This window comes from Homo sapiens, chromosome 4 (genome assembly GCF_000001405.40).
Source record: "Homo sapiens chromosome 4, GRCh38.p14 Primary Assembly".
NCBI lineage: Eukaryota > Metazoa > Chordata > Mammalia > Primates > Hominidae > Homo > Homo sapiens.
Genome location: NC_000004.12, coordinates 24,458,634 through 24,481,951, shown reverse-complemented (window position 1 = coordinate 24,481,951; position 23,318 = coordinate 24,458,634). Strand labels below are relative to the sequence as shown.

The 23,318-nt window shown below is 44.8% G+C and overlaps 1 protein-coding gene and 2 long non-coding RNA genes across 13 annotated transcripts in view, besides 2 other annotated features; 1 reads left to right on the top strand and 2 right to left on the bottom strand.

Annotated features, from left to right (window-relative positions):
- Positions 1-3,616: 3,616 nt before the first annotated feature.
- Positions 3,617-8,688, bottom strand: LOC124900681 (uncharacterized). The gene is made up of 2 exons (XR_007058077.1): positions 6,654-8,688; positions 3,617-3,952 (listed from the first exon to the last, which is right to left on the bottom strand). It is a non-coding gene; the product is annotated as an uncharacterized LOC124900681 (long non-coding RNA).
- Positions 8,695-8,834: a silencer, noted in NCBI's record as "silent region_15315". NCBI's record gives its function as "represses an Ori minimal core promoter by ATAC-STARR-seq in GM12878 lymphoblastoid cells {active_cell/tissue: GM12878}" and the evidence as "EXISTENCE:reporter gene assay evidence [ECO:0000049][PMID:35858748]".
- Positions 9,047-23,318, top strand: part of PPARGC1A (PPARG coactivator 1 alpha) — a 680,885-nt gene continuing 666,613 nt past the window's right edge. For all 11 annotated transcript variants that reach the window (NR_148982.2, NR_148986.2, NR_148981.2 and 8 more), the window contains exon 1: positions 9,047-9,577. The gene's annotated coding sequence lies outside the window, so the exon portion shown is untranslated. The remainder of the gene's footprint in view (positions 9,578-23,318) is intronic.
- Positions 10,216-10,717: an enhancer, noted in NCBI's record as "H3K27ac-H3K4me1 hESC enhancer chr4:24472858-24473359 (GRCh37/hg19 assembly coordinates)". NCBI's record gives its function as "activates a minimal SCP1, AML or CMV promoter by ChIP-STARR-seq in naive H9 embryonic stem cells {active_cell/tissue: H9 hESC(naive)}" and the evidence as "EXISTENCE:reporter gene assay evidence [ECO:0000049][PMID:30033119]".
- The window catches only part of LOC124900678 (uncharacterized), a 30,104-nt gene continuing 19,411 nt past the window's right edge, over positions 12,626-23,318 (bottom strand). The window contains exons 2-4 of the long non-coding RNA XR_007058074.1: positions 21,500-21,642; positions 14,627-14,716; positions 12,626-12,701 (exon numbers count right to left, since the gene is read on the bottom strand). This is a non-coding gene — a long non-coding RNA (uncharacterized LOC124900678). The remainder of the gene's footprint in view (positions 12,702-14,626; positions 14,717-21,499; positions 21,643-23,318) is intronic.

Sequence of the window (23,318 nt, the reverse complement as noted above, 5' to 3'; positions counted from 1 at the left end):
TGACACATGTATATATCGGTTGCACCACCAGATAAAGTCAAGGTACCAGGCCGTAGCTCTTGCTTTTGCCAGTTTCTTATGAAATATCAGGGCTTTTTCACTAGTGTTAGAACCAAGGCAGAGACCTAGAAAGATAAATGATTTAATTCGGCCTGTCAGATTCTATTTGCTTGGAAGCAAGGATTCACGAGGAGAAAAGCACATTAATTGAGGTCTTAAGGTGGTAGTAGAACACATTTTATTTATTACTGCTTTCTGTGTAGAGGGATTTTTTTTTCTTCTTCCTTTTAACGTTTATTTGGTCTTGTTCAGTCAACTTGTATTGAGTGGGTTCTGTGCTAGGTGAGGAAAACCACAGTGAATAAGACCAGCTGGTGGGAGATGGAACAGAGGTGTGGCAGAAACCAGGAGAAGAGATGAAAGGGCTTTCCTCTGGGACTGTGACAAGAGACTTTCCTCAAAATGATGACCTCTACTCTAGAGTTTGAGAAGGTCTTAGGCAGGCAGGAAGGGTAGGAAAGCTTCTCCAGGCAGAGGGAAGAGTAGGGGCAAAGCCACACTGAGGTGGAAGAATCTGACGTCTCTGAGAGCTTAAGTGAGCTGGCCACACTGAGGCCTTGTGTGAGTTGGGAGGCCTTTGAGAAGGAGCAAAGGAAAAAGTCACTTGAGATGAGCTGGAGAGGTCCGTGGAAGAATCTGGTCACAAGGGGCCTTGTAACTCCTTAGAAAGCCCTGTGGGATTATGGAAAATTGTGTCAGACTTGGGGTTGGGGTAGGTGTCTAGATTAGAGGAACTGAAAGGGGTCATTTTTAGGATTTGGGTTTTGATCCAAAGAGCAATGAAAGCCACTGAAGCGCGCTATGATTAGATTTGCGCTTTGAAGACATTATTCTTTTTGCAGGATGAAGAATGGCTGGGTCACAATGGATGCAAAAAGACCTGTTAGGAATCTACCATAGGGTCCTGACAGAAGAGAAAGGTAGCCCAGCATAGGTGACTGAGTGGAAGTAGACAGAAGGGGAAGCATTTAAGGAGAGACATTGGATATTGATATTGAAGGGGAGGGAGGTGTCAAGATGGTTCATACAACATAGCCCAGACTTCTTCTTGATCTTCTGCCCATGGACAAACACAACTTGCCATCATCTGTCTTCAAATGGCATCCAGAACTTGGAGGTATGGACCAGGTGTGGCTTCTGTGGACATTTTATCCCCGGCATCTATAGCCTCTGATTTTTAAGCAAATGTCAGACAACCAATGTGACAGACGATTGGATCTTGGCCTTTTTATTCTTCTCTCCCCTGAACTCCTGTCACCTGCTCTGTGGCAGATATCGTAAATTAACTCATTCGGTTTCCATTGCAACATTCTCCTACTAACTCTGTGGTTCATAGAGGCCAGAGAGCCAAAAGCAACATTTCCCAGAACCTTTTGCAGGTCACCCATGTGACCAAGGTGCCTCCAGGCAAACACACCTTCTCCAGTCTTACAGGCAGAAGTGCACAATGTATGGCAACTGCTAAGTACAGGGAGATCAGATGTTCTGGCAAATGAGGTTACCAAGCTTCCTGTTCTTCCAAGACTGTGGGTGGTAGAGTTTCTGGTGTCCAGTCTATTGTCATATAGCTTTTTTTCCTGGCAGCTTTGTTCCTATTTGTAGCATCCAAACCCAATTCTCTAACCCTCCTGGAAATTATATGAGTTACCTAAGACTTTCTGCCTAAAGTATCTGAAGTGAATTCTGTTGCCTGCAAATAACAACCTGTGATATGCTCATCAGTGAACTTCATTTATTATTATATATTTTATTTGTTGTTCTACAGGTAGTGACACCTTTTTTCTGAACATAGCGTCTGCTCCTTAAAGACAAAAAAGTGGTCACGTACCCTCTATCATGTTAGCCACAGTGCAGAGAACATAGTAGGTGCAATGTGGATGACTGCCATTTTTGCCTGCTTGACATCCAATCATCATTCTCCCAAAAGTACCAGATACACAGACTGTCCTCGAATTTTCCTCTGGGAAGCTACGTCTTCTTCAGTCTGTTTATTTGCTTTGGTGTTATGGACTTCTAGAGCCAAGGATGGGCATGAGACTCAAGCCTGGCCAATCACAGAGCATTGCATCCCACTGATTACCATAATTAATGTAAAGATGGGAACATGACCCAATCAGAGCCAATGTTTTAGGATCTAAGGATTTTTGACTGGACTGTTGAGAGAGAGAGAGGGAGGGAGGGAGGGAGGGAGGGAGAGAGAGAGAGAGAGATGCACATCTATCTCATCTGTCTACTCTCTTTCTGTTAGGACCACTGATACAAAGGAAGAGGTGAGCCAGTTATGTTGGAGGCTCCATGTGGAATGGAAAATGAAGTCAACCCAAAGGCAAGCAAAGCCAAGAAATTGGGTTGTTGACACTGTTTGAGATTTGCATAGACCAGCCTTGCCTGAAAACACCCCTACTCCTGGGCTGTTCAGTCAGGAAAACCATTAAAGTTCTTAAAAATTTTTTTGTTTTGTTTTAGCCAGTGAAGTTGGGTTTTTGTCACTTGCAACTGAGTCCTGACTAATACAGAGGTTGTCCAGAAATATCTCCTGATTGGGTCATCAGAAAAAGGGCAAGAGTTGAAGGTCTTAATTCCCTATTTTCTCCCTTCCTTTCCTTTCCTTTCCCTTCCCGTCCCTTCCCTTCCCTTCCCTTCCCTTCCCTTCCCTTCCCTTCCCTTCCCTTCCATTCCCTTCCCTTCCCCTTCTTCCTTCTTCCTTCTTCTTCCTTCTCCTTCTCCTTCTTCTCCTTCTTCTCCTTCTCCTCCTTCTCCTTCTTCTCCTTCTTCTCCTTCTTCTTCTTCTTCTTCTTCTTTTTCTTCCTCTTCTTCTCTTTTTTTTTTTTGATAGAATCTTGTTCTGTCACCCAGGTTGGAGTGCAGTGGCACAATCTGGGCTCACTGCAACCTCCACCTCCCAAGTTCAAGCGATTCTCTTGCCTCAACCTCCTGAGTAGCTGGGATTACAGGCACCCACCACCATGCCTGGCTAATTTTTTTTTTTTTTTTTGGTATTTTTAGTAGAGATGGGGTTTTACCACGTTGACCAGGCTGGTCTCGAACTCCTGACCTCAAGTGATCCACCTGCCTCAGCCTCCCAAAGGGCTGAGATTACAGGCGTGAGCCACCGTGCCTGGCCTTAATTCCCTATTTTCTTTTTACACTTTCTCTCACCTCCACTCCAGCCTTTCACCAAGTGATCGAGACATGTCCAGACATTTAATGATTTGATGCAACAAACAATTCAAATACAGCTGAGATGTTTGCCTCCATGAGAGTCAAAAACAAACAAACAAAGAAAATCAAGATGTACCCTGATCAATTACTCTGTTAAACAAATTGGCAGCTGCTTCTGGAAGGGAAGAGACTCCCAGTGAGGGCCAGGCAATGAAAGGATGTGGCTCTGAGCTCTGTCCAGCCATAGATGCTATTTGCCACTGTACAGCATGGTGGTTAAGAACCCTAGCACATATGGAATTAGGGTTGTATGGATCTGAATATTACTCCACACTTGTTAGATGTGCGATCTTGGCCAAAATGCTTAACTTCTATAAATCAGCCTCAGACTGGCTTATAATGAGGAGACGTTTATTGGCTTACACACTTAGAAAGTCCAGGGAGGTGTCTAGCTTCAGGTTGGGCTGGATCCAGTTACTCAAAGGATCTAAGTCAGGAATCTGCAGTGCTTCCTCTCAGGCTCTCTTTCCTTCTGAGCTGGCTTCATTCTTAAGCAGCTGGGTTCATTCCGGTGGGAGTCAAATGGCCTGGAAGAGCGCCAGGCTTACACATTCTCCCAGCCTTGCTCTCCCAGCAGAGAGAGCACGCCTCTCTATGGCTCTGGTGAAAATCTCTATGGCTCTGGAGAGGCAGAGCTCTCATCCGGTCACCTGGGGTCCCCTGCACATCCCTGGAGTGAGAAAGTGAGGTCAGATCACTGAGACGGGGAAGGGAATGTTTCTCAAAGGAAGAGCAGGGGGCTGTTCCCAGAAGAGGGAACCGACACTAGCTGGGTAAAAACAACAGATGCCACTCCTCACTCTCAGACTGTGTTCTCCTGGGAGAAACTGGAAATGTAATCGTTCCCACTTCATAAGGTTTTGGTAAAATTAAATGAGTTAATGTTTGTGTCGCAGATGCTGTTGGTCCCAACTCAGATCCGCACAACCCTGACCATTTCCACGCATGACCATTTCCATGAATTTCCCAGATTCCATCAGCAGCAGCACCCCGTTGCCCGAGGACTTACTCTGGCTGCTAGACCCCACTTTGCCTGTGCTGGCCACAGGTGGGATGTGCCCGGGAGTGACCAACACCTAGGAGTAGCCTTCCACTGAGGAGCTGGAAGATCAGCAAATACCCCAGCCCCTCACACTTCCAGGAGGGTCAGTCTAGACTGTGCATTCCACACTGCCTCCCAGAGGGTCCCAAGCAGAACTAAACTCTTCTTACCCAGAGTTGCACTCCTTACAGCCTCCTCCACTTCTTTCTCTCATTTCTCCTACTTCCTTACCTGTGTTTCCTAGGGTTACCTCCCAAATAAACAACTTGCACTCCAATCCTTTTCTCAAGGAAGCCCAAAGCAAAAGAGATTGTTATGTGCTGTATATCATGCCTGGCACGTTAGAAGCATTCACTAAGTTATTTGTTATTATTACTGCTGTAGCTGTTTTGAGGTTCATTTCTTCTTCAGTTTCTTTTCTTGATTTTTTTTTTTTTTTTGAGACAGTGTCTCACTCTGTCTCTCAGGCTGGAGTGCAGTGGCATCTCAGCTCACTGCAACCTCCACCTTCTGGATCTAAGCGATCCTCCCTCCTTAGCCTCCCAGGTAGCTGGGATTGCAAGTGTGCACCACCATGGCTAATTTTTGTATTTTTAGTAGAGACAGGGTTTTACCACGTTGGTCAGGCTGGTCTCAAACTCCTGACCTCAAGTGGTCCGCCTGCCTCGGCCTCCCAAAGTGCTGGGATTACAGGCGTGAGCCACTGCGCCCGGCCCTGCCTCAGTTTCTTTTTGCATTAACTGTTGCACCCTCCTCCCTGGCCTTGGCATCACGTGTTTTCCACAAAAGGTAACTTCCTCTTCTGTTATACATTCCTTTTGCCCTCCTGACATTTCCGTGTCTCACAATTTCTTAATTTTAATCTTTCCCCAGGGTAATTATGATTTCGATGAGATGTAAACTTTTAAACAGTTTCAAAGTAATAGTGGCAACCCCAAATCCTAATAGACCAAACACTTGTTGAGACTGTAAACTTCTTGAAGGCAGGAATGATATTGGTTTTCACTTTGCCTCAAGTTAACACGTGTTTGCATTCAGAATGCTTTTTTAAATAAGACAAATTAACAGACTTAATAAAGGAAAGAGATGGAATGAAATCGACTTCCTCTGTACATTACATCTGCTTCCCATCTGCAGTTTTAGCCAAAATGATCATTTTTTATTCACATCTACAAGAATTTGGCCTCTTGCATCTGCAGAGCTGAGCAGTCATTCACTAAATGACACCCTAGTGGTACGAGAGTGTTAATGCACCTCATTTATAAACAAGGAAAACACCCCACATCATCTGGACTATTAACTAATTTCCAATACAATATTAATACAAAACTTATTTCTTGGGCGGAAAGTATTTATGAATAAAGATGGATTTGTCACTAATAGGATGATATCAGTTCAACAAATTCCATATTTTCAAAGTGACAAATTGTGACTTGGCAATATGATAGGGGAATACATGCAGAAGAAAGTTTGGTTTGTCTTGAGAGAAACAACCACAGCGGATCTGGAAATCAAAAGCTTTCTGTTTTGGGTTTCCATCTTCAGACTTCTGAATACTGCACAGCAAGGAGTTGGCAAGGTGGCTGGAGTGATCTTTTCTCAATGAGCTTATGGCTCCCTCTGCTTCCCAAGGGGCTGTCTCCATCTGTTCTGGGCCCCGGTGAGGGTAGGGGGTGGGGTGGCAGCTTGTTTTATGTTGCTGAGAACTAGCAAACAAACCTCCAGGTTACTGTGGTGATGCCAGGTGAGCAAATCTATCAAGGAAGGCAGAATTCTTTTGGGGTGACAGAGCTGCCAGGGAGAGGGGTAAGCAGGGAAGGAGGCATTTTATCAGAAAACTATTCAGGTGGCCGTCTTTGGGGGCTTTCCTGTTGAAAAAAGAAAGAGCTGGAGACTTGAGGGGAAACAAACGTTTGAGGCTGGAGGTGAGACTTTTATACAGTGTTCCCCTGTTTGTGCCCAGAGGAGGTTCTTTTAAACCTGTTCCTGCCTCTTTATCCCTGGATGCCTCTGCAGGCCCTGGGCCTGCTAGGTGGATCCATGTATCTGTTTTCCTGTGTGTTTGTTCAGGGAAAGAGAGGCATGAGCCAGAAGTCTTTGGTTCAAGACCCAGCTCTTCCACTTACTAGCTGTAGGAAGGAGGGGGAGTTGGGGAGGGGGGTCTTTCCTTAAGCCTCAGTTTCCTGGTCTATTAAAAAAAAAACTAATAATTGCTGCCTAACAGGGCTCTTGTGGACAGTGATGAGCACATGCAATCAATTTTTAAATTAAGACATTTCACAAATGTACACTTGACATCAACTGGGGGGAAAGGGTTGGAATCACTTACTCCATCTGGTATGCAGGGGGGAAATGTTCATAGAAGAGCAGGCCTGTGATGGGCTCAGTTAGATCTGGAAGAAAGAGGTAGGTGGGGTCACAAAGTTTAGGTTCAATTTCTATCACTTTGTAGCTGCAGGACCTGGGTTAGGTTATTTAGCATCTCTGAGCCTCTTTCCACATCTGTAAAATGGAGATAAAGAGTCCTGATTCTCCCAAAATTGTTGTGAGAAATGAATCCATTTATCCAACAAATAGATGATGGGATAACACAGACAGAATGAACTTCCATTGGTGTGAATGTGGGACCTGAGCTAAAATCAGGGAATCAGTGAGTGGCTGCAGGAACAGAATGTTAACTTGGGCTAACGTATGTATGAAAAGCAGTTTACAAAGTGGACATTTCTATAATGCTCTGTATAAATGTTATTTAGATAGGAAGCCTAAGAAAACACAGGCATTGGGCCTAATTTAATATTTTCTGGTCTCTTTACATTTAATGTTTATAGGGGTGGGACTGCAAGGGGATTGAATTAGGGGCAGTATGAAGAATTCCTCCCTTCTTTTTCTCAGCCAGGAGACACAGGAAACAATAGAGGGAACAATGGAGAAGCCCCTTTATTCAATATTGGTGAGATCAGCACCAATTTCGATAACTGAATAGAACTTCTGTGTGCCTAATACTTTAAAAAAACTATTGTAAGTTTGAAGCCAGGTCAGTCAGCATTATTTGGGCCTGAAGTTAGTACGTAAAATTTCATCTTTCAATGTTCTCTCCAACATCAATTTTTAGAAAAAATATATCCCCCCCTTATAAAAATCTACAGTGGCCAGTGTGGTTAGGCACCACTGATTTGAAACAGCATTCTTCACCAATCCAGAAAAGAGGATGGTGACCTATTTTTTTTTTAAAGATCATTTGACATGCCTTTGAAAAATAAGTCAATCTCAGAAAAAGAAAACAGGTATTTAGCCAGAAATGTTTTCTGAATTTCTACCAGGAGGCATGCTATTCGCAAGGATGAAGGAACTGTCTTTCTAGAGCCATTCTTTGCTCCTGTTTTATTTCCCCTCTGAAATCACTAGCCGACGTTTCTGACATCACTGGGTTGCTGTGGAAATGTTTATTTCACAGAGGATTTCGACCTCCAGTGGGGAATTTACAAGTGGAAGTGTGAACTCTTGGAAAAACACAATTGGTTTGAATAAAAATAGGCAGCATTTGGAAACGGGATTCAGAAAGAAAACAATATAAACTGCCTTTAAGAGGTTGTTTCAAGTCTTCCTGCAAGGATTCAAATACTTTTAAGAGCATCTTACACAGATATGCTGGTTTTTATTTAAATTTTACTTTCTATAAATATCTGTATAAAGAGTAAGGGGAAGCAAGTAAAGAATGTCTTCTTGCAGAAAAAAAAAAAACACACCTTTCAGCCACCCAATTATTAAGACTGAAAGATTTGGTTCTAAAATACCATTTTGTGAGGAGAGAGAGAAAGACGACATTATATCCGTTTACATTTTTATATCATATAATGGACTTTAGAGAATAGCTCCCTTTAAATAATTGTGACTCAAGGGGCCTGAGTTTTAGTGCAGAAGCTACAAAATCCATTTTCGTTTTAAACTGTTAAATCAACAGAACGCCAAACTAGAGCCTTTCTTCCTGCTGGGGCAGTATTGTCCCCTAAATCCACTTTCCAGTCCTCTCAGCCTAGCCTAGTTTGATGTAGCATTGACTTAGCTTAACTACAGCAACCGGCAAAAGGAAGTGGGTTTGCATTTGGAATGGGAGGAGGCAGGCACCGGTGTGTCTGTGCCTGCGTGGACACGCGCGCGGGGGGGCTGGAGGGATCGCGAAAGCAAGAAAAGCGGGACATAGCAACTATGTGAAAATAATTTTCCAGTGGCTGGAAGAGGGGTCTCTGCATGGAAAAGCAATTTTAGGAATAAAAAAAAAAATCTTCAAACAGGGCGGAAGGAAGGCTTGCCAGGAGGTTGCCGGACGTAGCGGGGGGGTGGGCGCCTGTGTTTTTCCTCGAGCATTTTTCCTCTTCCCGGGCTCAGGGCGGCCCACTCCCCACCCATCCATCCACCTGCCCGCGGCCTCACCCGCGCCCCCTGCCGTCCCGGGACGCGCATGGCCCGGCGGCTATGGCGAGGAGGTCGGAGAAGGCGGCCGGCCGGCCGCGGGCTGCAAAAGGTCTGGCGGCGTGGTCTGATTTAGTGGCCGGGGCTGTAGTACAGGCTGTCCCCGGCAGCCGGCGGAGTCAGCGCGCCCACGTGACGGCCCCGGCTCTCCGGTGAGCTCCCCAAACAGACGCACACCCAGCCACACGCGCGCGCTCGCGCGCGCGCACACACAACACACACACACACACACACACGCACGCACCCCCGCGCGCACACGCCCGCCCGCTCGCGCTGCCTCTGCGCCTCCATCCCGGCTCGCTCATTATCTCGCCCTCTCGCTTCCCCTGCGGTCTCTCGCTCTGCGCGCACACACCACACACACGCACACGCACACACACGCGCGCACACACGCAGCCGGCACAGGCGGCGGCGGCGGCTGCCCAAGTCAGGACGAACCTATCTAGGTACCGTCTTGAGAAGGCGGCAGCGGCGGCGGCGGCGGCGGCGGCGGCAGCCCGAGCATCCCTCCTCTCCCGGAGAGGGAGCACCGCCGAGAGTTTCCGTTCCCTTTGCCATTCCCTTCCCCCTCCTTTTCTTTTATTTTCGAGAGAATTTCTTCTTGGCTTATTGGTTTAATTTGATTTTTAAAATTTTGGGTTGCTTTTGTGTATGTGTGCTTTTTTTTTCTTTCCTCATTTTATTTGCATCCAGAGCATGGCGGGCTGCGGGCTGTCGGAAGACACCCTCTTCTCTTCCTTCTTTTACAACTACGGCTCCTCCTGGGAAACCCCTTCCAACCAGGTAAGGGGTGGCTCGGTGCCGGGCGGCGTCGCGCCCCTTGCCCCCTGCCGCGCGCTCACTTGGTACTTGGTGGGGAGGCAGAGGCTCGGGAGGGGGTGGGGAGGATGGGGGGCCAAGTGGGTCGCACTGTCTGGGTCAGCGCCAACCGGCGAGAGGAGATACCCCCCCTTCCCCCATCGCTAGCTTTCCAGTCTCCAGGTTCTGTCGCGTTCCTCCCGTGCCCAATCTGCCATCGACACCTTCCCCCACCACCTCCCAGCCCAGCGGGAACCCGAGAAAGAGGCAGGAGCCGGCGCGTTACCCCGAACAACTCCAGGCAGAACCAGGGAACTCGAGCGCAACCTTCCCCAAGTCGCCGCGGGCGCCGCGCCCCTGTGCGCCCGGCGCCTACCCGCCTTCCAGTTGCGCCGAGGGGCTGCAGAGCCGCAAGCCCCCCGCGACGTGCTGTCCCCCCTCCACTCCCCTCGGGGCCCGAGCCGCCTCTTTCCCTAAAATGGCTGCAATCTCAAGTAGAGGCGTCCCCTGACCCGCGGAGGTGGGGGGGGTGGGGTGCAGAGTGGAGCCTCCGCTCCTCCTGACCCCGCGCCTCCCCTGGGGCACAGAAGCACCCCACAAACACACTTAACTTTGATGACTGTGCAATGCAGTCCGGCTGCATCGTGCCCTAGACGCTCCACGCCGCCGGCCTGTAGGTGTGCGTGTCGGTGTGACTCGGGGGGCCCAGGGACGCTGGGGGTAGACGCCGGAAGGGGGGCGTGGAAGGAGATGGATGTCAGCGGGCCACTGGTAACCTGGAGAGACAGGCATGTGCTCAGGGTCTAGGGGTGAAAAAGCTATTCTGGGAGCTGGAGCGAGAAATAGAGAGAGGAAAAATGCCTTTTAATTAAATAACTGTTGTAGTCTGCTGCCCCCACCGCTTGTTGGTGAAAGTCTACAGGCATCTGTCATCTCCAAACTACGCGGGGAAGTAGAGCTGGGGTCGAGGGAGGGGAGGCATGTGTGTACGTGTATGCGTGTGTGTGTGTGTGCACGCGGGTGTGTGTCTGTGTGTGGGTGTGCGCGCGCGCTCGCGTGTCTGGGCTGGGGAAAGTTGGGGCCAGAGGAGCGGTGGAGGAGCAATGGTGAAAGGCATTAGCTACTCGGTGGGCGGTCCAGGGCGCCGGGGATTCCCGGGCCCCGCGGAGCGCGCACCGCGGGGGGAGCTGGCCCGCTAGGGGTGGGGGGTGTCGAGGAAAAGAGCTCCGTTCAGCCCGGCTCGCCTGGCCTCCGCGGCGCCTCTCCTCCGGAGCCCGCCAGCCAGCCTCGGCCGCTTGCGGGGCTGCCCGCCGCGCTCGCCGGCGCTGGCGCGCTCCCTCCCGGGCCCGGGGCGCAGCGCGTTCCTGCGAGCTCCCGGCAGAGAAGACAAACCCCGAAAGCAACCGAAAAATGTTCGCCGCCGCCGCCTCCGCATCACCCCAAGTTTCCAAGAAACAAATCGCCAAACTACTAGCTGCCAGGTGAAGACCTCTCCGGCGTGGGCTCTCCAGAAAGCGCTGCGGCCATCCGAGTGAATAATACATAAGGGCCGCCCGGAGCCTTGGAGAGGCTCCCGCCGCCGCGGCAGCAGCAGCGGGAGGCGGCGGCGAGCTCTGGGCAGACCGTCGGGCCGCCGCCGCGGGTGGGGGCGTCTGGGCTGCCCCCGGGAAGTACGCCGGCCGTTCGGGCGGGGCGGGAGGGCAGCCCAGGCGCGCGGAGTGAGGATTCGCGGTGAGGCAGCCGGGAGACACGAGGCCTCGCTGCGAGTAGAAACTTGCAGGAGCTACTGAGGTGGTCGGGCCGGCGCTGGAGCTGGGGGCCTGGAGAAGCACGATCGGGGCCCGGAGGGTGCCCGGCTGCCCGTGGCCGGCGCCGGTGGCTTCCTTCAGGCTATCCTGCCCCGCCTGGCGGGCCTTGGGTGCTCTCCACGCTTCCTTGCATCCGCCCAGGATTGCCGAGAGCCAACGACCACTCCGGCTCCGCAAACTCCAGCTCTCCAGGAGCGGGCGTCCGCGTGCCTGCCTGTGTGAGAGAGTGTGTGTGTGTGTGTGTGTGTGTGTGTGTGTGTGTGTGTGTGTGTGTCTGTGTCTGTCGATGAGTCAGAAACCAAGCCCTGCTCGTCTTTGAGGACTGAGGCGGGTACGAAAGGCTTGAACCACGCACCCGGTACAAGCCCGGCCGGCATTCGGGCATCCTCGGCAGCGCCGCGCCCCCCAGTCCTGGAGTCAGAGGCGTTAGGACAAGTTTCCAGGCGCGTGCCTCCGACCTGCACCCCGGGGCCGTGAAACTCAGGCACTTTGTATTCCTCCAAAGGAAGAGAGGAAGGAGACTTGGGTCTAAGGAAGCAGTGATACAGCTTTGCAGAGATGGGAGGTTTCGCAGCATCTTTAACGAGATAGAAACAAGTCATTTGAGAGCGTTTAAAAGCGAAGGGCTGCGGCTGGATTTCACAAGACAGGCAATCACGTGCAAACTCCTAGGAAACCAGAGGAGGTGGGAGAGAGGGACTGGATGGGGGCAGGTTTGGAGTAAAGGAAAGAGAGAACCATTTGCGGAGGGGGGCGTTTTAAAAAGAGGAAAACTACCGGCTTCTTCAGGTAAAGTTAGTTTAACTTGAGGTGGAAAAGCGTTTCCCCAAGAGGCAACATCTTTCTTCTAGAAGGGGATACTCATGTTGCTAAGAAAATCGAAAGAATTTCTGATAAAGCAGCTGGCTCTGCTCTCTGGAGAATGATTGGCTCTCGGGCTGGTATTGGGTACTGTGCTACTCTTAGTGCAGTGAAATTGTATGGTGGGGAGAGGAGATTATTTGAAGTATTGATTTCTTCTTCCAGTGGTGTGGTATGAACTTTAAGATAAAGTACAGAAACAAATGAGAGATGTACATCATTAGGGGAAGGTGCGTCAGATGCTACCGAAGCTTTAATCTCTGGTGGTAAATGCAGCCGGGGCAGTGAATCTTACCAGGATTTGCGGTTTCCAACACTGCCACAATCTCCATTTTCAGAGATGAAGAATACATGTGCATAACGGGCCTTACTGATCTCCAGTTTGCATTTTCAGCATTTGAGCATGGGCACATGTTTGAGAAACCTGCTCCTAACTGTTCCTAAGAAGAAAAAGAATACAACAAAGGCGATACTTTAAATCTCATCTTGGACTCGGGCAGAGCTGCTATAGGAAGGCCTGGGCCAAATTTGCAAGAGTGAGACTTGTTCATGATTTTACCCTGATTGCTGCCAAAATGCTTACATATCCTGCGTTTCCTAAAAATGGCAATGTTCTTCAGATATAATTTGTTTACTCTACCTCAATTAAAAATCCTTTTCCTAGTGTTATATAGTGCTTATGAAGGTAAGCGTTGACTGTACTAAAAAAAAATCAAGCTTTTTATTTCTAGATCAATATGATGTGCTCTCAACATCTAATACCATGTAAAAGGAACCTTTCTGCAACATCAGTAGCAGGCAGGCATGTCTCCCTAAGAAGCTCTTTTCCTGGAATCACAAGGCATTTTGATTACTTTCATTTTCACAAGAAACATGATTATGACGCCTCTCGTTATAAACAAGCAAGTAAAAAAAAAATAATGAAGATGGAGCTTCTTGATATATAGACCTGGAAAATTGGAAACAATGAGGGTGTTTATTCATTACTGAAAAACAGAAACACAAACAAACAACAAAAACCCAGCCACAAATCATCACTGACCAGGTTTTTACTTGTTCTGTGACATTTTATTCTTGAAGCTGGGGAGGGAGGGGTGATTTTTTTGGAGAGAGCCCAATGTGTATTAGAGCCGAAACTACATCTGTTACCATTTAAAAACTGGGAAATTTCGTCCTATATCTGAGAGGACCATGTTGCAGATATTTTGCACCCACTTGCCAATGTGCAAAACATATCATAGCAAGTGTGTGTGTGCGGGGGGGAGCATCTGCTTAGGTGGAATTCATTTCTTCAATTAGAATGAAACCCCCAGTTAAAGTGTATATGTGAAATGTCTCTGATTTGGCTCAGTGCAGCAGACAGCAGACCATTCTTTAATTTACAGTTTCACGCCTAGGGATGGCAGTAGTGCAAGCTTCCAAAACCGAGCTTTATCTTTTGATGTTGTGCTTTTCAACCTGTGATTCTCTCCTGTAGTTGTTTCGGCTTCCTGTCTCCATCAGAAAGCTGACTGTGGAGTGGTTATTACTGCTTGCAGTTTGGACCCAGGTCACCTTATTAGCTGTCACTATGTAAGCCCAAATCGAAGCAGGCCAGGTCTGTATGATATTGAATCAATCAATTGAAAGTGAAAAATGGAGCCAATTAGCTGACTGCTCGAGTGTCCATGAGGCCAGACATCTGACTTTACTCACCTGATTGACCAGCTTTTTGGTTACTGGGTAGCTTAACCTGAGGCTACGTAAAAGACATTACCACGAGGCTTGACCCTGCTTTTTAAACTTTTCTTTATCTGCTCCCTGCCCCCACCACTTCCCAAATTTTCCAGACTAGAAATATAAAAATGGCATCTTCATAAGGGAACTATCTTCTCAGAGTAGGCAGTGACTGTTTTGAATTAGCCAGTACCCATAATTCTGTATACTCACTGTGTCTTCTCCAGCAAGGTAGAAGTTTCAGTGCAGAATCATTAATGGACGTGGGTAAGTTGTCGAAAGCTTGTGCTGACTGCCCATTTTTTTTTTTTTTGGCTTGGCATTACCTCCATGAATATGGATAGCCAAAGCAGAAAGCAGCCCACTGAGGAACACTTCTTTTCCATTCAGTCCAAATACCATAAAGAATTCAGTGTTTTTTTTTCTTTCTTTCTGGACATTTCATAATTCTTAAAGTGGTGACAATGTTGGCATCCCCGGAGATGAGCCAAGACTTGGGAATGTCCTCCATTTACAAAGTTGTTAGATAGCCAATACCTCAAAGTTCAAAAAATATCAACTGGGCTTCTATACCTTTTCAACATTTTTATTTCCCTGAAGATGTAGTATGAACTGCAAAAGAGTTTTAAGTGCATTTCTACGTTCTTACCTTAAATAAATTTTAGAAATCCTCCTGTAAATCCAGCTCACAGAACCCCACTTTTCACATAACTCCAATTTTTCTGACTTTGGGTTTCTCCTAGGGGTATAGGAGAGGAAAAGAGTTTGTTGCAGGTCTTCCAATAAGGCTGGCTTACTTAATGCATCAGCTGGAAAACATTGTTCGCTTTTCTTTCCTTCCTTCCTTCCTCCATCCCTCCCTCCCTCCCTCCTTCTCTCTCTCTCTCTCTCTCCCTTTCTTTCTTTCTTTCTCTTTCTTTCTTTTTCTCTCTCTCTCTCTTTCTCTTTCTTTCTTTCTTTCTTTCTCCCCTTCCTTCCTCCCTCCCTCCTTTCTTTCTTTCTCTTTCTTTCTTTCTTTCTTTTTTTCTTTTTCTTTCTCTCCCTCCCTTCCTTCCCTTCCTTCCTTCCTTCCTCTTTTTTTTTTTTTTGCTGGTGTGCAGTGGTGCAATCTTAGCTCACTGCAACCTCCACCTCCTGGGTACAAGCAATTCTCCTGTCTCAGCCTCCTGAGTAGCTGGGACAACAGGCGCACGCCACAACGCCTGGCTAATTTTTGTATTTTAGTAGAGATGAGGTTTCACCATGTTGGCCAGGCTGGTCTCGAACTCCTGACCTCGGCCTCCCAAAGTGCTGTTTTTCGCTTTTCTTTGTAATATATGTAAACCTTAAACTTGGTAATTAAAGAGCAGTGACAATGACTAACATTTATCAATTGTTGTTCCATATACTTTATAAATATTTGACTCATTTAATCTCCATAACAACATATGAGGTAGGTACTTTTACTGTTATTCCCATTTTATAGATGAGGCAAACAAAGCACAGAGAATTAAGTGACTTGCCTAAGGTCTCAGCGCTAGTCAGGGAAAGCTGGGCCCTCCACCAGACAGACTTGTGCCAGCTTCCTCTTCTTATCCCCACTGTACTCACTTTCTGCTACAACACAGAAGAAATTGTGTGGCCACATGTACATTTCTGGCAAGTTTGGCAATGGTGTCATTTATTTGCCAGCTTTGTGAAATAGTGAATATCTCCTTTGTTTGCCCAAGTTTACCCACTTTCTTTTATATAACCAGATAGAATTCTTTTTGATGAACGAGGTGAAGTTGTCTCTTTTGGTGGAATCAACCATAACTACCTGATGCTTTTTGGACTAGATGTTTGAGTTGACCATTCTTTTTGGTTTGAATGGTAGATCTAGCCTGAGAGATAGACAGGGCCTTCTAAAACAGAATAATTATGGTTTAGTGGGGCACTCATTCCAAATGTACATGAATATCAATAAAATATTCGACAGAAGAAATATAACTGTGAGATACATGAATAGAATAATTTTATAATCATTCAGATGTATCAAAACCCTATCATATATATAGTGAGGGATACACTGTCATGAGCTAATCCGTGTCACTTTCCGCTTGTGCTACATATAGTTACATTTGAGATTTAGGCTGAAATTTACCTTTCTCATCCCGGCCATGTTATAACAGGTATCTTCTGTACTGAATCATGCGCCTAACATTTATGTCCATCATGAACTAATGCCTTTTAGTGGTTCAGCCCTTATTTTGTGATCTTCCAAAATACAGTTGTGGGAAGCGGAGGGAAAACATTAAATGTCAGTAGTTACAGCAAGACAGTCTCTATGAAGAGGGCAAGGAGTTTCTCACTGCTTTCACGTTCCTGTAGCCCTAGCGGAAATGTAAAAGTGCAAGGCTTGCATTGGAATGAGAATGGGGTCACCTACCCCTTGTATTCATCATCAAGGAAGCAGAACTTCCTTCCAGAGAGACCATAGGAAATCAATGATCACACTTTGCCAGCGAAGAGGTAAATGTGTACAGCAGACGGCATTAAATAAAAGGGCAGCAGAAAAGTGATTTACTCTAGAAGGCAGTGTGACTTTTTGGTCCTTTTGAAAAATTCACCTTTTTGATATAATAATTATATTAAAATGTTTCTTTCTTTCGGATTCTATGTTTTAAAAAAAGAAGAAAGGAGAAAATGCCATTAGGTGGTATTACATTATTTTCACATGAAGATCGTTATTTCAACAAAGCAGTGTCTAGAATATGGTACCAGATCCACCCCCACCCTTTTTGTGTGTGTTAATAAGGGTTGACTATATTTATTGAAATTTACTGATTTTGCCAGAGCACGGTTTTTCGCACCTGTAATCCCAACTGCTCAGGAGGCTGCGGCAGGAGGATTCCTTGAGTCCAGGCGTTCAAGACCAGCCTGAGCAACACAGGGAGACCCCCATCTCTAAAGAACAATAAAAATAACCAGGTGTGATGGCGTGTGCCTGTAATCGTAGCTACTGACCCCATCTTTAAAAAAAGTTACTGGGTTTATGTGCATTTATGCATTTGTTCGGTGTAGTTGCTGAAGCAGAGGGGAAGCTTGCTACTGGGGGAGGCTCACCTTGACCAGAAGAGGTTACGCTGGGGTCTTCATACAGGAGAAACATGCGGTGGAGGGGAGGAGGGAAGCGGGCAGGGGAGGAGATGGTTGATGCAAAGGGAAATGTAGATGTGGAAACTTAATGGAATGTGGAAGAGCAGGTGTGTAGTTCTAATCTGCTTCCCCTCTGTAGTGTGCACGTCTGATTGCTTTGTGAGCACGTCTTCTATAGATTTCAAATAGAGAGCTGCAGGTAATAGCTAAAAGCCCAGTGAACGTCTGGCTTCTTTGTGGAAGAAGACAAGACATCCATGTAATCTCTTGCCTGAAAGAGTATTAGAAAGTGTGTTGGTTGTGTAATAACAAGCAAAAAAGATGCAAAGAAAAAGAAAAAGCTAACCAACAACCCCTACACATTCTGCTCCAATTTATTATTTCCAGTAGCAGTTTAGTCCCTAATGTTAACAATGAGTGATTATGATTCTGTAGTTTCATTTACAGCATAAATTAGCATTTTGTTTTCTGTTACAGCTTTTGAATGAGGAATTATAATGTATAATTTGCTGAAAATAGATGTTATCATCTCTTAGGATGAGAACAACCACATAAACTTGAACAAATGATAAAAATGGAATCAATTACATTTCAAATGGAAGTAGTTTACAAACCTCCAAATACAAAGTGGCAGTAGTAGCTGGTTATTGTAACAAATAATTAGTTTTTTTAAACAACATTTATTGAATTCCACTGACAATTTGGTAATTGTTCACAGTTGGCTGTAGGCCTCCCTCTCCTAAAATGAAATGTGGCATGGAACAACTGCATTTTATAAACTGTAGTTTGCCTCATTATTTAATGTTGCAACCAGAATGTATATTTATTTGCATATATAACCCTTTCTGAATAATAGGGAAATATCAAATTGAATAAAACAATGTCACCAAGCCTAGGTGACAGGTAAACACCCAAGGGCTGGTGATTGAGAGTATTGTCAGGTTCCAAAGAAAGAAAAGAAGCAAACAGTCAAAATGGATATGCGTGCATGTATGTTGAAGGGAAAACATTTTAAATGTTCTATCAAATAGGCAGATCATATTTTTATTTCAGCAGGAATTGACTTTTTTTTCCCACTCCCATTGCTCTCCTTTCCATAAAGCTTTCTGTCTCTTGCTGTCATATTTATTTGGAAGTCTTGCCTCCCATTCTACTGAGGAAGCTGATTTTGAGAAAGAACCACACCCTCTTCAATTCTAGATCCTCATCCTGCCCAGCCTGTAGTGGACAGACAGAGCATATGTGTTGGATAAATGGCTGAAATGTCAGAAAACAACTTTTATACCAACACATGTGTCACTTTATTTATCATTCTTTGTTCCATCTCTTAGGATGATGACGGCAGTTCCGCAATGTCATTTTTGAAAATGAGAATTTGACTTGGAGAATAAATGAATCCTGCTTCCATTTAAATGTCCCCAGGGAAAAACAAGATTGGGTTACCATAGGCTTGCTAAACCTCTTAATTTTTCAAATGAAAAAATTATGAAGGATATGCTTACATTAACAAATCCAGAAGCAGTAAAAAAGGAAAAGTGGGAATCTGAAGAGTTTTTGCTTTTTGTTATTTTTGGTAACTGCTCCATGCTGAGTGGATCATTTAATTTTGATTATTTCTAAAAGATTAATCCATTTCTTTAAAGTTAATATGCAAAGAAATATGTTCAACATCACTTTATTTTTAGATCCCACGATTTAGTCCTGAAACAAATCAGTGATGCATTATAAACACATAAGAATGTATCTAATGATGGGAGTCAGGCTGAACAGATGCTAAAAAAGATGCTTCGTGTGAAGTCGAGGGAGCTGCAGGAGGGAATGGAAAAAAATCTCTAGAAGTTGGCGGGCTTGTGAGGTGAACGCTATGGAGACTTTTCACCTGCTAAGTATGTGCTTGTGCAGTGCAGAAGGGACTCTGCTCCTGGGTGAAGGTGGAGGGGGTGACATCCATCCCCTGCAATTGTTGTGAGGATTAAATGAGACCTTGGACCTGAAAGACGTTTGTTACTGACTTAATAAAGGGCTGAGTCAATGTTGCTCTCACCAGTCATTCCTCAAATATTTATGGAGTTCCTACTGATGTGACAGCTGAGCAGACCGCCCGGTCCATACTAGATTCTCAGCAAATTATATTGAGTCCATCATAATAGAATCCACTTACAGACCACTTACTGTAACATTCCAGAGACATTTTAAAGTGCTTTACATGGATTCACTCATTTCATCATCAAATTACCCTATGAGGTGGGTACTATTATTAGTATTCCATGAGGAAACTGAGGCCCAGAGAGATGAAGTAACGTAGCCAAGGTCACACAGCTAGTAAGTGGTAGAGCCAGGATTTATATGAAGCATGTCTGGTGTCTGAGCCCATGTTTTAACTATCCTGTTAGGCTGCATTCAGATGGATGAACTGATGGAGGAGTGGAGAGAGGAGCATCAAGGACAAATAAAACATGCTGGCCAGGCGCGGTGGCTCACACCTGTAATCCCAGCACTTTGGGAGGCTGAGGTGGGTGGATCACCTGAGGTCAGGAGTTCGAGACCAGCCTGACTAACAAGGTGAAACCCTGCCTCTACTAAAAATACAAAAAAAAAAAAAAATTTAGCCGGGTGCGGTGGTGTGCACCTGTAATCCCAGCTACTTGGGAGGCTGAGACAGGAGAATTGCTTCAACTGGGGAGACAGAGGTTGCAGTGAGCCGAGATCCCGCCACTGCACTCCAGCCTGTGCGTTGGAGCGAGACTCCATCTCAAAAACAAACAAACAAACAAAAAACATGCTGCTCTGCATGTCTAAAAATGAAAGAAAAAGAAAAAAAATGCTGCCTTCAACATGAATGTGTGTTACAAGTGGAGCCCCACCCACCTGGATGCAAAGAAGATAGAAAACAGTTAGTGCTTTAGGGAGGAGATAGCGGTGCTGTGGTCATTTGGAGAAGAGGGAGTTTACTTTTGGCTGGAAAAATCACAGAAAGTTTCAAGAAGGCAGCGACATTTGTTCTGGGCTTTAAGAAATGGAGAGCATCTGGGAGATGAGAATGGGGGATGAGAGTGGGGACATTTGAGGCAGAAGGAAAGTGTAGAAGGAATTAGTCAAGGAATACCTGCCGAGAGTTTTTTTAAATTGTGTTAAATTTTTTTCATTCAATGAAATTTATTGAGCACCTACAATGAGCTTGCCCTACCCCCTAAGAGAGCTTTCATTTAGTAAGAGAGACACAAAAGTCACACACACACACACACACGATAGACACGATAGAGACATAGACGGATGATATGTGCGTGCATATGAATAGATATACACAAAATAGTACAGCTCTGTCCATCCATATCCATACACACGTCATCTTCACCCTCTCTTTCTCTGTCTCTCCCTCTTTCTTTCTCTCTCTTTTTCCCTTCCTATCATCTAGCTATCATTATCTCTTTTAAACTGTGTGAAGTACCAAGAAGGAAAAATAATGTGCCTAGAAAGAAGAACAGGTGAAAGGAGGCAGAGTCTTTCCTGCTCATTGTTTTGACTTTAGAAATTTAGAAGTAGGAACTCCTCTCCAGTTGTTCTGTCACAAGCAAGAAAGCTTTCAAACTTGGTTGATAATAATTAAGATCTTTGCATCATTTAAAATCCGCCCTAGGCAGGCCATTGTGGCTTACGCTGCAATCCTAGCGTTTGGGAGGCTGAAGCAGAGGGATTGCTTGAGGCCGGGAGTTTGAGACCAGCTTGGACAACATAGCAAGACCCACCTCTACAACAAATAAAAACATTTAGCCAGGTGTGATGGCATGCACCTGTAGTCTCAGCTACTAGGGAGGCTGAGGCGGGAGGATGGCTTGAGCCCAGCAGTTCTAGGCTGCAGTGAGCTAGGATTACATGACTGCATTCCAGCCTGGAGGATAGAGTGAGACCCAGTTTCTAAAAAAATTAAAATCTGTTCTGTTGACAATGTCAGAAGAACAGTTTAATTAGTAAATCAAAGATGAAGTTTTATTTGGATTTATTATACTTCAATAAATTACCAAACTTTTTGTGGATTAAAATTAGCCACTCGAGCTGGAGAGTGAAATAGCGTCAGAAATTGAGGACACACTGTGAGGCCCAGGAAGCAGTGCTAATGAAATCCTTTAGGTCTTTCTTTGTGTGATGTCAAACGAAGAGGGTTACATAGCTTTGATGAAAGAGCCAAACAAATGGTAAAAGAGAATGGAATCATCTTTACCATGTTTATCAAACCCTTGTTGTTTCAGAAAATAGGACTTATTGCTAATTGATTTTTTTGACCCTGATAGTAACAGTTTCATTAGAAAGAATTTAAAAATTATTTCTCCCAATTAAACTAGTCCTAGAGAACAGGCTGCTGAAAAACAATGGTTGCTTCATTGTTTATCTCTATTAACATACATACCGGTTTATTTTCCCAGAATTTTGGCCATATTCATTCTTTCACTGTGCTAGTATAATCAAGTATGATGATGTTTTGGGGAGTGTTTGTAAACCGTAAAGTGTCCTCTTAGTCATTATCATTATGGTGGAAGAACAGTTCGCCGGCTGAAAAGAGAAGCCATTAGCATTGAATACAGACCCAGAATAAAGTAGATGTTAAATAAATATACATTAGATTCACTTAGGGAGTTATGTTAAAATGCTTGTTTACAATGATATTAAACATTTGTACTGTGGCACCTTACTCCAGGAATAATGACTAAATCTGTATTAAATCTCTTTGCATCCACTGTAACCAATTCTGTCAAGTGACCTCTCTAAACATCCCAAAGCTTTGTCTGAGGTCATTTCAGGCTATTGAGTCTTCTTCAAGCATCACTTAGTTGTTTAAATAAAGTAACTAGAGAATGTCCTATGATATGTCAGTCTTTAAAAATACACAAATATCTCTTATTTCCAGAGAGTTTTGGGAAACTACCTCATCTTATATTTGGGCATATACAGTATTTAAGAAGGCTTCGGAAAAAGCACTGCTTGAATGCTAATTGTTGTTATTAGTTATTTTATGCCTATTGTATTTAAAGTAAATATCTACAGTTTTTTTTGTTGTTGTTTGTTTATTTTTAGACAGGGTCTCGCTCTGTCGCTCATGCTGGATTTCAGCGGCGCAATCTTGGCTAACTGCAGATTGAATCTCTTGGGGCTCAAGCAAGTCTCCCACTTCAGCCTCCTGAGTGGCTTGGACTACAGGTGTGCAACACCATGCCTGGCTAATTTTTGTATTTTTTGTAGAGGCAGGGTTTCACCATGCTTCCCAGGCTGGTCTCGAACTCCTGAGCTCAAGCTATTGCCTGCCTCAGCCTCCCAAAGTGCTGGGATTACAGGAGTGAACCACTGCACCTGGCCCAGTTTTTTTTTCCTTAATTGATTTCTGAATACCTTGAGTTTTTTTTTTTTTCATTATTTACACCATCCATAACATTAAATACAGTGTAGGGAATGAAATAGGCACTAACTAAACATCTTTATTAATCATGTGACCAGAGAAATAATCTTTAACTCATTCTTGGAATTTAAAGACATCAGCCCCTAATAGCCACGTGATTATTAGCAAAACAGAAAGGGTCAGAACTTAGATGGGCAGAGCCATTTCCTTTAAGACCCTCCCCAAAAGACCTTTTTGCTAAAAAGGGAGTTTCCCCTTGAAATTAGGATATTTTCACATATAGGGAATATTGTCTTCCTTTATATTTTACCTTTTAATTAAAAAAATTTAAACTTGGCTTCTTAGAGCATTATTTTTGCAAGTAATATACCCAGGAAACTGATAAAAGCATATTATTAATTTTTCTTATTGTAGATATATATTTTTGTTTTGGATTTTTTTTCTTAGAAAAGTTGAAAAAAGAAGAAAAATCGAATCAAAACCATACATCGTCTAAATACCTAGAGATAATCACAGATATTTTGATTTATATATTTCCCGTCTTCTTTCTAGGTGTATGCATTTCATATTTAAGTTGGTATCACATGTAAATATTTGTGTAACCTTATTTTAGTCCAATAAATCATAACTGACCTGCCATATAATATTTCATATGCCTCCATATAATTTTTAGTGGCCCTGTAGTATCCCATTGTATGTTAATAGAACCATTTATTTAACCATCCTGTATCATTGGGTATTTAGGTTGTCACCAATTATGACTAAATCACGTACATATCTATGAGTATTTCTTTAGGGTAATACCCAGTAGTAGAGCTACTGGGTTAAAGGCCGT